Source organism: Homo sapiens, chromosome 6 (assembly GCF_000001405.40).
Source record: "Homo sapiens chromosome 6, GRCh38.p14 Primary Assembly".
NCBI classification, from domain to species: Eukaryota; Metazoa; Chordata; class Mammalia; order Primates; family Hominidae; genus Homo; species Homo sapiens.
The window spans coordinates 38,474,012-38,488,863 of record NC_000006.12 but is presented as its reverse complement, the minus strand read 5'-3'; the positions used below and the strand labels follow the sequence as shown (position 1 = coordinate 38,488,863).

At 40.6% G+C, this 14,852-nt stretch overlaps 1 protein-coding gene and 1 long non-coding RNA gene across 9 annotated transcripts in view, besides 1 other annotated feature; one reads left to right on the top strand and one right to left on the bottom strand.

Annotated features, from left to right (window-relative positions):
* BTBD9 (BTB domain containing 9) overlaps positions 1-14,852 on the top strand; it is a 471,479-nt gene that overhangs the window by 151,066 nt on the left and 305,561 nt on the right. The window lies entirely within an intron of this gene.
* BTBD9-AS1 (BTBD9 antisense RNA 1) lies at positions 6,337-7,268 on the bottom strand. Its single transcript, NR_144472.1, has 2 exons — positions 7,078-7,268; positions 6,337-6,797 (listed from the first exon to the last, which is right to left on the bottom strand). It is a non-coding gene; the product is annotated as a BTBD9 antisense RNA 1 (long non-coding RNA).
* Positions 10,955-11,478: an enhancer, noted in NCBI's record as "OCT4-NANOG-H3K27ac hESC enhancer chr6:38445162-38445685 (GRCh37/hg19 assembly coordinates)". NCBI's record gives its function as "activates a minimal SCP1, AML or CMV promoter by ChIP-STARR-seq in primed H9 embryonic stem cells {active_cell/tissue: H9 hESC(primed)}" and the evidence as "EXISTENCE:reporter gene assay evidence [ECO:0000049][PMID:30033119]".

The following is a 14,852-nucleotide window of genomic DNA, read 5'->3' as shown; positions in this document are numbered from 1 at the left end:
TTTTATTATTGGATGGAGAGATTATGAATAATTATTCTCTTTTTTTGAATTTCCTTATTGAAAAATAATTTTCTTAATGAAAATTCTATAATGAATGTGTACCACTTTTGAAATTCAAAAAAGCATTATAAAAAAAGAAACATTAATTTTTCTTAACAAAATGGGTTGAGACTTCACCTTCAGATCACACATTCTTTGCAGAGCTGCTGGTTTTCGTCTGACGTTTTAAAAAGCTGTCCACCACACCTTGGTTTGCAGAGCATGTCTCTGTAATAAGGTAAAGGCCTCATGGCACAGTGAGAATAGACGTGGCCTAGGAGCCCGGAGACAGGACTGTGCTATGCCGACACATCGCAGCCTGAAGTCACTGCCTCGTCCCTGGGTGTTTCTTCATTTACGGAGCTAGAGAACGTTGGTCCATAGTTTCTATACGGTTCCTTGCAGCTCTAAACCTGGATAATTCTGATTCTTCCCCAAGCTTCTCAGCATCTTCTTTTTCTTTTTTTGTCCCCTAATATCATCTCATTGATGCTAAGTTGGGAGGCTAGATCCATTTGAAAATCTGACTCTGGGAATCTTTGTTGTTGATATTAAAAAAAAAATCCCTTGGACACTTAAACCTGTAGGGGCTGGGCATGGTGGCTTACACTTTTGGGGGGCCGAAGTGGGAGGATAGCTTGAAGCCAGGAGGTTAAGACCAGCAACACAGCAAGACACTGTCTCTACAAAAAATTTAAAAATTAGCCAGAGGTGATGGCATGCACCTGTAGTCCCAGCTACTTGGGAGGCCGAAGTGGGAGGATGGCTTGATCCCTTGTCTCAAAAAAAACAACCTTTAGGGAATTGCTTTTTCTAACTAGGGACTTTATTCTCTATTACACCTATTTCATACTTTGTGCACCCATTTTTAAGATCTAGAGCAGAGGTCAACAAATGTTTTTGGTAAAGGACCAGATAATAAAAATTTCAGGCCTTGTGGGCAACATAAAGTCTCTGTTACAAATTATTCTTTTTCTAAACAATACTTTAAAAATATAAAATTTATTTTTGGCTCGCAGGCCATAGTTTGCTGATCTCTGTTCAAAACCTTAAAGGAGCAAGAAATTGTTTTAGTCATACCTGGTGATACTTGCAAACTCGATTCCCCTCCACCTTTCTTTTTTCTTTTCTTTTCTTTTCCTTTCTTCTCTTTTCTTCTCTTTTCCTCCTTTCCTTTCCTTTCCTCTTTCTTTCCTTCCTTCTCTCTCTCTCTCTCTCTCTCTCTCTCTCTCGCTGACTCTCTCTCTGTCTCTCTCGCTCTGTCACCCAGGCTGGAATGCAGTGGCGTGATCTCAGCTCACTGCAGCCTCGACCTCCCTGGACTCAGGTGATCCTCCCACCTCAGCCTTCAGAGTCGCTGGGATTACAGGCATGTGCCACCATGCCCAGCTAATTTTTGTATTTTTTGTAGAGCTGGGGTTTCCCCACATTGCTCAAGCTTGTCTTGAACTCCTGAATTCAAGTGATCTGCCCTCCTCGGTCTCCCAAAGTGCTGGGATTACAGGCATGAGCTACCACACCCAGCCCACCCCCTCCTAAGGTAGGTCTTCAGATTATAAATAAAATAATCCTTCAGAATGACAGGAGATAATTTATATAATGGATAACCACAAGCACATAATTTTGTCTAGTTCTTCAAATGTCTTTATAACCAAAAGCTCAAAGATGGAATCTACCTTACACAGGACTATTTTAAATTGTTCTTTATATTGTGTCCTTTGTGCTGTTCCTGAAAATATGTTAGAATCCTAGATTTGGGTACAGATTCAAGTAGTTAACTCTCATGCTCTCAGCAGGGCCCATCTCAACTCTCTCTTGTAAACATAAGTGTTAAGCACAGATTTTAGAGTTAAATGGACCGAATTCAGTCCCAGCTTGGTCATTTACCAACTATCTGACCATTTCAAGTTAAAATGAGAATAGTGCTACAAGCATACCCCTTTTTGTTACACTTTGCAGATACTGTGGTATTTTGTTTTGTTTTTACCAACTGAAGGTTATGGCAACTCCGTGTTCAACAAGTGTTTTGGCCCTATTTTTCCAGCAGCATGTGCTTACTTGTGTGCCTATGTCACATTTTGGTAATTCTCACAATATTTCAAAACTTTTCATTATTATTATATCTATTGTAGTGATCTGTAATCGATGATTTTTGATGTTACTATTGTAATTGTTTTGGAACATCACAAACCACACCCATAGAAGACAGAATTTAATAGATAAATGTGTGTATTCTGACTGCTCCACTGACTGGTTGTTCCCCCATCTCTCCCTGTCCTCCAATCTCCCTATTCCCTGAGATACAATATTGAAATTAGGCCAGTTAATAACCCTACAGTAGTCTCTTTAAGTGTTGAAGTGAAAGGAAGAGCCACATCTCTCTCACTTTAAATCAAAAGCTAGAAATGATTAAGCTTAGTGAAGAAGGCATGTTGAAAGCTGAGATAGGCTGAAAGCTAAGCCTCTTAAGACAGTTTGCCAAGTTGTGAATGCAAAGGAAAAGTTCTTGAAGGAAAGTCCAAGCACTCCAGTGAACACAGGAATGATAAGAAAGCAAAGCAGCCATTGCTGATATGGAGAAAGTTTGAGTGGGTATGGATAGAAGACCAAACCAGCCACAACATTCCCTAAAGCCAAAGCCTGATTCGGAGCAAGGCCCTAACTCTTCAATTCTGTGAAGGCTGAGAGAGGTGCGGAAGGTGCAAAACAAAAGCTTAGAGCTAGCAGAGGTTGATTCATCTTGGAGCTAGCAGAGGTTGATTCATAAGATGAAGAACAGAAGCCATCTCCATAACATAAAAATGCAAGAAGAAGCAGCAGCTGCTTGTGTAGAAGCTGCAGCAAGTTACCCAGAAGACCTAGCTAAGATCATTGACGAAGGTGGCTACACTAAGCAGCAGATTTTCAAGATAGATGAAATAGCCTCCTATTGGAAGAAGATGCCACCCAGGACTTTAATAGCTGGAGAGGAGAAGTCACTGCCTGGCTTTAAAGCTTCAAAGGACATTTCTGATTCTCTTGTTAGGGGCTAATGTAGCTGGTAACTTTAGGGTGAGGCCAGTGCTCATTTATCACTTTGAAAATCCTAGGGCCCTAAGAGTTATGCTAAATCTACTCTGCCTGTGCTCTGTAGATGGAACAACAAAGCCTGGATGACTGCACATCTGTTTACAGCATGGTTTCCTGAATATCTTAAGCCCACAGCTGACACCTACTGCTGAGACAAAACAGCTCCTCTCAAAATATTCCTGCTCATTGACCATGTACCTGGTCACCCACGAGCTATGATGGAGCTGTACAAGGAGATGAATGTTGTTTTCATGCCTGTTAACACAACATCCATTCTGCAGCCCGTGGATCAAGGAATCATGTTAACTTTCCAGTCTTATTTACGAAATACATTTTGTAAGGCTATAGCTTATAGCTATAGATAGTGATTCCTTTGATGGCAAATTCTTTTGATTCCTCTGATCTGGGCAAAGCAAATTGAAAGCCTTCTGGAAAGTATTCACCATTTAGAGGCCATTAAGAATATTTGTGATTCGTGAGAGGTGGTCAAAATATTAACAGCAGTAAGTGTAGTCTGAAGATATGACTGGATTGCTGCAAACTTTAATGGTTGAGGAGTTGCTTCTTATGGATGAGCAAAGAAAGTGAAGATAGAATTCTTGAGATAGAATCTACTCCTGGTGAAGATGCAGTGAATATTGTTGAAATGGTAGATTCTAGAACAAAAGATTTAGGCTGTCACACAAACTTAGTTGATAAAGCAGTAGTAGGGTTTGAGAGGATTGACCTCAATTTTGAAAGAAGGTCTACTATTGGTAAAAATGCTGTCAAACAGCATCGTATGCTACAGATAAATCTTTCATGAAAGAAGAGTCAATAGATGCAGCAGACTTCATCATTGTCTTACTTTAAGAAATTGTCACAGCCACCCCAGCCTTCAGCAACCACCACCCTGATCAGTCAGCAGCTATCAACATTGAGGCGTGATCCTCCACCAGCAAAAAGGTTATGACTCACTTGAGACTCAGATGATTGTTAACATTTTTTAGCAATAAAGTATGTTTTAATTAATAATCTGTACTTTTTTTGGACATAATGCTGTTGCACACTTAATAGGCTACCATACAGTGTAAACGTAATTTTTATATGCACTGAGAAACCAAAAGATTTGTGTGGCTTGCTTTATTGTGTGGTCATAAACTGAACCCATGACATCTCCCAGCTATCCCTGTACCTGTCTCATAGGGTTGCTACAAATGTCAAAGGAGATCAGGCTTGTAAAACAGCCTTAGCAGAGGTCTTGGTACAAAGGAAGCACTCAGTTGATAAAGGATTACTGTTATCTCTTTTTGTTTTAAAAAGATATCCAGTATTCTTCTTCAGGAACTGATTATAATCTCAAATAGTAGTCAGTCCCAGGAAGTGTTTTTATAAATCTAACCCACATTTTATCTACTCTAGAACTTTTGCCCATCTGCTGAACCTTTAATCCATTTCTTTTTATTTAATCCTCATTAGACATTTAAAAAACAACTAATGATTACCCCTGAAGAATAAAAATATAACACTTCCTTAGTAATTCTAGTTCTAGTTTCATAGGTCTGATTTCCCTGTGCACTAGTTATTATGTCTCACCTTTATGCTTCTGTGCATGTCTACAGTTGAAGAGCAAAGAGCTGAACACAGGATTCTAAACAAGGATTTCATCGTCATTTCATTTATCCATTGAGTAAAATGTTTACGGAGCACCCACAATATACTAAACACTGTGCCTGGAAGTAGACATATAGCAGTAAACGAGATTAAGTTGTTGCTTAACGCAGTTTACATTGTAGTAGGAGAGAGAGAAAAATGAGATGTAAAGAAATAAATGTGATACTGACTAGTCATAGTTTGACAAAATTGGAATGGGGGAATAAGCTAGCCAGTGGTTGAGTTTGGGGAAGGAGCACTTGAGCAGAACGGTCAGGGAAGGCCTTTCTGAGGAAGTGAGTTGAGCCAAAACTTGAATTACAAGAAGTTGGCTTGGCTATGCAGCAATCTAAGGGAGAAGTGTTCCAGGCTAGGGAACAGCAAGAGTAAAGGCTGTGAAGTAGAAACTAGCTTGGGGTTTTTGAGGAACAGAAAGAAGGCCATGTGTTTCTGAAATCTGGTGGGTAGATAGTCTGTAGGGTGTTGGGAGGAAGGTATGTTTAGCAATGAGGGCAGACAGATAGACAGGAGCCATGTCCTACAGGGACTTGATAGTGTCGAATTCTAAGGATGATGGGAAACCATAGAAGGGTTTAAACCAGGTGATGGTAGTTGAGATTTTTGAAAGATAACTCTAGTGTGATCTAGTGTGAGAATGGACTATAGGGAAGACCAGACAGCAGGTGGGCAAGGAAAAGTGAATACAAGAGACTGGGAAGGAGCTGCCAGTGAGGCAGGAAGAAAACAAGGACAACATTTTCATGGAAGTCTTAAAAAGTCAGTCTTTCGGTATGAGGAGGGGAGATGGGAGAGGGCAGTAGGTAACAGAAAATCGACTCCTGGTTGTAGCAAGATAGAGCTTAGTGGCGTCCTTTAAGAGCCATTTCAGTGGAGTCAAGGGAGAAGGGAATAGAGGCTGAGGGAATAGGGGTAGCAATACATGTAGAAGATAAAGTATCACTGGGAGGGGAAGCAGAGAAATGATGAAGAGGATGGAGGGGGACCTAGGGTCAAGGGAGGATGATGTTAAGGTATGTGTGTGTGTGGACTGGAATGATACCACAGGGAGGGAGGATTTGATAATGCAGGAGAGTGGATCTTTGTAGGGGCCGTGTACCTCATTATGGGAGAGGGGCTGGATCTCTAGCTCAAGGAGAAGATTGACTTTAGGTAGAATTGAGGTTCCTTCTTTTCCTGTAACAGGAGGAAAGGCAGAGTATGTAGAATAGATGTACCCAGATTGAAAGAGGCAAAAATGGAAGCCTTACCTTCATGTTGACAGTGCTTGTGCCTTGGTGGGTCTTTGTGGTATATCATGGCCTCAAGCTCTGTTTTTGCAGGTCCACTGAGTTATTTGTGCTATATATATTCTTTTCCTACCCAGGCCATCTATCTCAGATACAGATCTGTTTACATGTCTGTCTCCCCCACTAAACTGGCATCTCTTCAACAAGAGTAGTTATCTTTGTATCTCCAGACATAGCTCAGTGTTTGGCAAGAACTGAGTTGAAGGAATGACAGCTACATCAGTAGAAAGGACTCATATAACAGCTACACAAACATGCGGTAGAAAGGAAAGTAATTCAAGAGCATGAATAAAATTAAGTGTTTATATCTTAGAATAATTAATATGATTTCTCTCTTTTAAGTGGAATACATTGTTACTGAACACCAGAATTGAGGGGTAGCTAAAAGTAAAAAAAAAAAAAAAAGAAAGAGAAAGGATCACCTCACACCTCACTACCATCTGGAAAGAAGATGAGCTTTTAACAGCCCCTTTCAGTAGGGACGAGTTAGTGCCTGGCATGCTTTGGTGGGAAGCACATTTCTAGGTTCAGGAGAAAGTGAGAATCAAACGTGTCTGGGAAAAGGAGATCCCAGTGTGATCAGCTTGCTTGTGGAAGATTAGCAGGGGTTGGGGGCGTAGAGGGCTTCGGGCAAGAGTAAATGTTAATGAGAGATGGCTTAAGCAGACTTGTGCCCAAACGAGTGAGAACAATTTGACAGGAAGTTCAGTTGAGCATGTGTAGCACTTCTCCAAATGCTTTCTTCTTGGACTGGGAAGAAACACAACAAAACAAAATAGTTACTTTCCCCTTCAACATTATACAGCACATCCTAAATGAAACATGACTTTCTGAGTTACAAGCTGCCCCTGGCAAAAAGGCTGGTTATAATCTCAGTGTGTTCCCTGAAACTAATGTTCCTTGGGCACTCCAGATTTGTGTGACGTACTGTAAGTTATATCCAACTGAACTGTTCTTTTAACTGCCTGCATTAAGCATCATCAAATAAGTTGCGCTGAAAGGAACCACCTGAATAAAGAAGCTTTTATACCTTTGTAAGTCCTCACTGCATGACCCTAGGTCACTGCTGTTGAACTTGGGAGCTTTCTCTCCCACTTTTCACTCTCTTGCCTTTAATGGATGGGGGTCTCCACACCAGGTTTTCTTTCTCTCTCATCTGCCAGGTGCTAGCAAATGGTGCTGCCAGCCTCATTAGGGGAGAGGGGGTAGTGTGGAGGCAGGCACTGGCCCCTCCCTCATGTGCCCCGCTTCCCAGAGGCCTATGGGATACCAACTGAAAAGAGGTCGTGAGCAGAGCTGCTCACCCTGGAATTCATTTTCTCTAGACTCATTAAAATGCTGCCTTCCTATCTCCCTTGGATTTTTACTTTTCAAAACACTTTACGATGTGCGGCCTCATTTTATTTTACATTAAGCTGACAACCTAACATCTCACCAAGTATCAACTGGGAATACAATTTTGCACTCACTGTGCTGTGCCATCTTGCCAAGTTTTGTCTTTGTTACTCAGCTCTCATTCAGAAAGGAATTAATTTGAATTATATGATGCTATGGTTGTCTCCTTGAAGAAGGGCTAGATTCCTGCACACCTTGGGAAAGTATCTATCTGTGAATGTACTTGAATCTTCCAGGTTATATGCCATTCTTCTCTCTTCTTTCCCTTTCACATCATCATGGGCTCCTCTCACGTTAGAATAAACCTTTCTGTTTTGCCTCTCCCTACTCAATGGGATTTCCATTGTTTCTGTCTTCACTTCCTTTTACCTGGGAGAAGCTGATACTGATGGAAAGGCATTTTTGAGTCTAGATATAAAGCTCTTTGTTTAAAGAGCATTTTTAAAAGAAGGGAATTTTTACATTGCCAAAGGTACCCAGGTGTTGCCTTCCTTCCCCATGAGGATTTTGCACAGAGCGCACATTCATACCCACTATCTCTTAGTGTCAGCCTGTGTGATGGCTATATGCTGTCTACCAACACTACAGTCTGTTTGGGAAGCGCCAAATCTTGGGTAGGCACTGGATCTAAAACTGGCACTGGAATCATCCACTCAGAGGAAGAAAGATTGAGGTCAGGTGGGGAATAAGACAGGCAAGTTGTCAGGCTTCTTTTCAGATGGTTCTCAGAGTACACTTCCATTACTTAGAACAGTGGGTTTGGTGGGGGGTTTTGGCGTGTTCTATAGCTGAGCTACAAGCAAAATTAGAGCTTTTTACTTATATACTACTTTGCATGGAGGTAGTCTCAGGGTCCCAGTTACAGCACTGATTTCTTGAAAAGAGTTTGATGTTCTGGCCCATGCTTAATTTAAATGAGAGGCTAAAAGCAGATTGTGTAACCCACCAATGCCCATTTGACAGGACTTGCACCAATCTGACCTACACTTTCATAAGAGCTCCTAAGCAGAGTGCTGTACTGTGGGTCTTCTGCCTTAACTCCAGGAATGGCAGAGATGAGCTACTGTTTATTGAGCACCGACAAAGGAGAGGTACTCTGAGTGTTGAATGCATGCTGTCTCTCAGCCCACAAGAGCCCTGCAAAGGAAGTGCATTGCTCCCCGTATTTATGGATGAGGAAGCTGAGTATCAAGAAGCTTGCTCAGAATCATGCAGCTAGCAAGGAGCAAGGCAGGGTTTCAGAGCTACGTTTATCTGTTTCCAAAGAGTACACTCTCCCCTCAATTCCCAGTAGTACTTCTCCAGTAAATCTTAAGTATTGTATTGCTTTTTTCCCTTCTATTTCTCTTAGCAGTCTATAGAAAAGAGCGTTTATTTAAAGATTTTAGTGCTCATCTGGGCATAGTGACTCATGCCTGTAATCTCCACACCTTGGGAGGCCGAGGCAGGAGGATCGCTTGAGCCCAGGAGTTCCAGACCAGCCTGGGCAACATGACGGAACCCTTTCTCTACCAAAAATACAAAAGTTAGCTGGGCATGGTGGTGCACACCTGTAGTCCCAGCTACTCAGGAGGCTGAGGCAGCGGGATTGCTTGAGCCCGAGAGGTGGAGGTTGCAGTGAGCCGAGATCACGCCACTGCACTCTAGCCTGGGCGACAGAGCCAGATCCTGTCTTTTAAAAATAAAAATAAAAATAAAAAAAGATTTTAGTGCCCCCTATAACTTGAGGCTTGGATTCTGAAGTGAAAGTTGTTGTTCTGAGAGGTGTTGATTGAGCAGTAGTAATACCAACTACATCAGTGGGACTTGGTGGCCCAGTCACACGGATGCAGTCAGAAAGGGAGTGTTACCTCATAAAGCAGTGATTCAAGCCTGGGCTTGGATTTTAAAATGTTGGAAAGTTGTGAAGAAATGGGATTTTTTTTTTCTTCCAAAGATTGTAATAACTTTGCCATTGTACCATTAACATAGTCACCACCTCATGTTTGTCATGTAACCAATTTATGTTTTTACTAACATTGAGGAAATGATTTTTTTTATGCTTCCTCCTTTCTATCTTTCAATTTTTTCCCATCTACACTGTGTGGATTATCAGATAAACAGGAAGGTCAGTGCTCGCTTAACCAGGGTTTGGCCAGTGCTCAGTGGGTGGGAAGCCGTCGGGAGAGGAGCTGGAGGGGTTGTGTGTCTGAACCCCTGTGCTCCACATTGGGCGCCTGTCAGGTTCCACTGACTTTTCATTGTATATTTGGAAACTCTTTCATAGCCAGAGCAAAGCCCAGGGAAATCTCTCCTCCTGTGGTGTTGGTCGCGTTCTTGTAGTTTCCATTTGATAACAGCATAGTTTACAGAGAACTTTTTGAGCTTTTGGAGAACTCCTGAGACTTATTTTGTCTTTGCCTGCAGCCAAAATAATTGAAGCATTGTCAGTCTATTTCAGCAGCACTTCTTCAGGTAGACTGTGATACTATTTGGGATGTTCAGATAGACCAAAGAGAACACAGATTGTAGCTCCTCCTGGAGCTATAATCCTGGTTTTATATATGATAAAAGTGAAATGGAATTTTAGCTCACAAGACATACCAAGGCGACTTGGTCATTATATAGTAGCAGCCTCGCTTATAATTTCCAGAGTTTCCTCTGAGTTTTAATCTGGCATTTGTTTCTTCCCTTCTCCAAGGAAAACAGGAGTTCTTAGCTCTTCCCTGTAGCTTCTGAAATAAATTCACACAGAATTTGAAGGCAAGTGAAGTAGGTCAGAATCCTTCCGGAAGCCAAGAACCCACTTATCTTCCCTCCTTTAGTTTTCTGTTTTGTCTGCCCATGCACATTTCCTCTTAGGTCCTCTAAGGAGAGTATGGGAAGAAAGGGAGTCAAATTCAATGATGCAGAAAGGGTCAGAGAAAGTGGTTGTAGATGACTGATGAGATTTGACACCATCCTCACTGCCGGCCATGTAATTCTCTAAAAAAAATAGGAGACAAGATAGAGATAGTCAAATCATACTAATAAACTATTTTTCAAGCATCCACATGCCCAGAGATGCTTAAAAGACCAGTAAATGGATGTGTCAGATGATATATATGAGTAAGCTAATATGATAGTCAAAATCAATAAAATAAAACCAAAATATTTTAAAGGTGGCAAAGCTCATGAGAGCCCAGTACTCAGAAATATATAACCTTCCTTTGCACATGTTTCTCCTCACATATATACGCACGTAATCAGAGACTGGTGGTAAAATTTTTAAACTTCTGACCCCCTCCCCCTTCCTGGTAGGAAGCAGTTGAGGGAAAAGAGAGGAAACAGCATGTATTGACCACATGCTGCTTCCTCTTAGGCACTCACACATGCTTTTTGTCTTACCTAATCCTGTATAACATCCCTGTGGCAGCAGGGGTATTCTCATTCTTACAGATGAAGAAATTGAAGCCCAGAGAGGTTGCACCGTTTTTAAAAAGTGATGGGGCCAGATTTCAAAAACGGGTTCACCTGACTCTAAAGACCTTGTGTGAATTGTCTTTCCACTAAACCATGCTGCCTCACCACAGAGCCACTGATGGCTTTACTTGATGTGTTCGTGGCATCGTTGCTCAGTTTGAGTTAAGTGAGTAATTCTTAAATGACTCGAGGATAAGAAGACCTCCTGTAGAGGCTTTACAAATTCAAATACCCCCAGTTCGTATTGCTTTCATCCTCGCTTTCTTAACTATAATCAGCATTGATTCTTTCCTATTCCCTGATAGCATTAAGTTATGATAACACTAGGGTGACAGAAAATAAAATCAGCAAATATAGATACTGCTCGTTAGCTCAGTAAAATGTGAGAATTGGCAATAAAGTAGGTCTTATCTAAAAGGTATGGATATAAATACAAAGCACAGGATTAGAAGCATTTCAGATAAAGATAACTCTGTTTGCTAAACAAGCTTTTTTAGGTATAAAGGAAAAGACAGTCTTGCTTCTGAGCATCTTATTGTAAGCATGATTCTGCCCCTGGCATGTCCTGTAGATGAGAGTTTGCTCTTACAAAATAAGCCCTGTCTATTCAATTGTATTTCGATGTTACAGCTAGCACATAGTAGGTACTAGGTAACACTTAGTTGAAGTGAATCGCTCTTAGTCTCTAATAAAATGTCTTTTAACTACTTCATTTTGCTTCTGTTCCTTGTACATCTGGATTACTTTACTCTCCTCTAATTTTGATTGTCATCCCCAGTAATTAGAGAAAGAAAGCGCAGATTAAGCTTTCTCATTTCATTTCCCCAACTTCTCCCTCAGTGGAATTCATGCCATTTCAGGAGCTCTTCCCTTTTAGGATAGACATCTGTCTTTGTGATGCATCCCCTGGTCCTCAGCCCTTATTAATCTTCAGAACCCCACCCATCCCAGGTGTCACCTCTCTGAAGCCTGAATGTCACTGGCAGGGCCCCATGTAGTGTTGTTGCTGTCCTCACTCCCTGTGCATATTTTAAAAATCAGTTAACAAAAGTTTCTATTTAAAAGCTCCAAGGGAAAATTAGGTATAGTAATAACATTTTCCTATGATTATTTGCCATATTGGCATTGAGGCAGAGAAATCTGTTAGAAAAACTGTTTGCTCTTTTCCCATGTGTCTATACTGAATAATATAAAGCTGGATACGCTGTCTCTATTCTGAAGCTGTCATGTGTTATAATAACTGGTTTGACACTTATTATCTTTTTTAATGCAAAGAGGAAATTGTCAGAGTTCACAACAGTAAAATAGATCCTTTGTTATTTGTATTATTTTTACTTGAAAGTATTTTTTACTGTCTTTGCCTTGATAAAACTGAAGTTTATATGGTAAAAGACGACGACATGACATGAAATGCCAGAATTTGGACAGTATCAGAGCAAAGCAGGATTCAAATGAATCATTAATTGGTATTTTTTAGAACCAATGTTTATAAGCAAAGCTGTCAACTCAAATCACAGCCTAACCTCATAGGATCTTAGAGCTTTATCAGAATAATTATTCATCAGTGACTTTAATATGTCTTCCTGGAGTTGTGAAATGTGTACTTTTCAGGCTGGCTCATAAGCACATGTTATGCACCCTGGCTTCACTCAGGTCTGCATTCATTTATTCCAAGGATGTGAGAAGGGAAGATGTAGCCTTACAAGTACACTGAATTATGCTTTTAATTTTATATCCCTGGGAGGAATTTGTGATCAGATGATTCTGGCCTTTGTGCTGTGCTGCCTTGAAAACAATTTTTAAAGTGTCTAACCGTTAAGCTTAAAAACTACTTTCATTTACTTCAGTGAACCTTTGATATTTAACGGTTAAATTATACAGAGTGAAAAACACAATGGCAACCCCAAATTAATTTTTTCCAGCCTGCCAAATGGACATTCAGGAAATCGAGTGGACATTTCCAGACTTAATTAGCCAGTTTACATTCTTTGAAGAGTTAGGGAGAAGAGCTCTTGGAGGGAGCTGCCATAGAACAGACTGGGAATAAGACCACTGAATCTAGAGCCATCGTGTTTCCAGGCCTGGCTCAGATTCTCTGAGACTCTCAGAGAATCTCTCTGGACCTTTAGAACTCAGTGTTCATTTCAGGGGTTGAGCTAGACCTCCTCTCCACTTCTCTTCCCTGCCCTATCAGTCCGTGGTTCAAACTGGGAAGTATGGCAGCAGCTTTTGGCTGAAAAACAGCAGAGACCCAAGAGATCATGGGTATGCTGTTCTTCTCAGAACCAAATTGTGGCCCTTATATTGGAATAACTTGTTCATTCTGGGCAGTCAACAAATATTACATTCCTGTATAGGATGATGCTGTGCGTGGTGCTGTGGGGAAGGACAAAAAACCAGAAAACAGTGAATTGGACAGAGAAGATGAGAGCTAAAGGCAGCATATGTTGTGTCAGATTAGTGCTTTGCGTAGTAAATGTTGAGGGCAGGCTTTGAGATGCTGAGGGAAGCCTCACAGACCCATAGCTGCAGAGCAGGAATATGCTATGTTCAGGCAATGGTGGAAGCTGGGCTGTAGGAAACACAGCCACAGATTTGAACAAAGATGGAGACAGCAATGTGGATCCAGCTGAAGATGTTTTTTCCTTTTAAATGTAACTGTTACTAGGAGATTTTCTGAGAATATAAGTATTACTATTGAAGAAAATTTGGAAAATAGAAAAAGATTGAGATGGTAAAAATCACCCATAATCTTATAGTCCGTAGACCACTAATTCAGTACTTCATTTTACTTCTTTTTGGCCATGTGTATATGTATGTATTCTTTTTAAAATTGAACTTCAGATCATATTATGTATGTTTTATATTCTGCTTATTTCATTTAACATTGTTTTACTTTTCCCTACATTATTAAATGTTCCTTGAAAACATTTTCGAGGGGTGTATAGTGTTTCATTATATAGAGGTACCATAATTTGACTTTTCCTATATTGAAGCACATATAGTTTCTGTTTTGCTGTTGTAAATAACGCTCTGATGAATATTCTTGTATATAAATTTTTGCTTATTTATCTGATTGAGATTTTTTAAAAGTATACTTTACTTTCATTTGGAGTTTAATGTGGCAGTTGAGTTTGAACTTCAAATTATAGGCATTAGAGATCATCTAATTTTTTTTATCATGATGTGGACTAAAAATTTGGCCCTGGAAATGAATGTAATTATGTTTAAGAAAGAGACAGGAGGATATCTCTATGCTGGAACAAGTGGAAATACTATTAAAAAAAGAGCTTTGAGAACTGATGCTGTTATTGATTCATGTATTTGTATGAACCAGGAGCTGTGCTAGGCCCTGGGAATGAAGATGGCTTTGATTAGTTCAGGTTACTCTCAGCTCTTTCCTTTTTCTTTTCTCTTCTCTTCTCTTCTTTTCTTTTCCGTTCTGTTTTTTCTTTCTTGAGACAGAGTCTCACTCTTTTGCCCAGGCTGTAGTGCAGTGGTGCCATCTCAGCTTCGTGCAACCTCTGCCTCCCAGGTTCCAGCAATTCTCCTGTCTCAGCCGCCTGAGTAGCTGGGATTATAGGCATGTACCACCTCGCCTGGCTAATTTTTCTATTTTTAGTAGAGACAGAATTTCACCATATTAGCCGAGCTGATCTCAAGCTCTTGACCTCGGTTGATCCGCCCACGTCAACTCCCAATGTGCTGGAATTACAGTTACGAGCTACCACGCCCAGCCTCAGCTCTTTCCAGAACTACTGCAATAGCCCCATAACTAGTTTTCCTGTTTCCATCTTTTCTTCTCTCCATTTTCTACTCAGCAGTTAGAGTGTTCTTTTTAAGACATAAATCAGATCATGTACATAACCCATTAAGCTTCTCATTATATGGAAGTATGAGATAAAACCCAACTTCTTAATATGGTCTACAAGGCCACTGTACTGCCCATTTATTAAATACTCCAGCCTT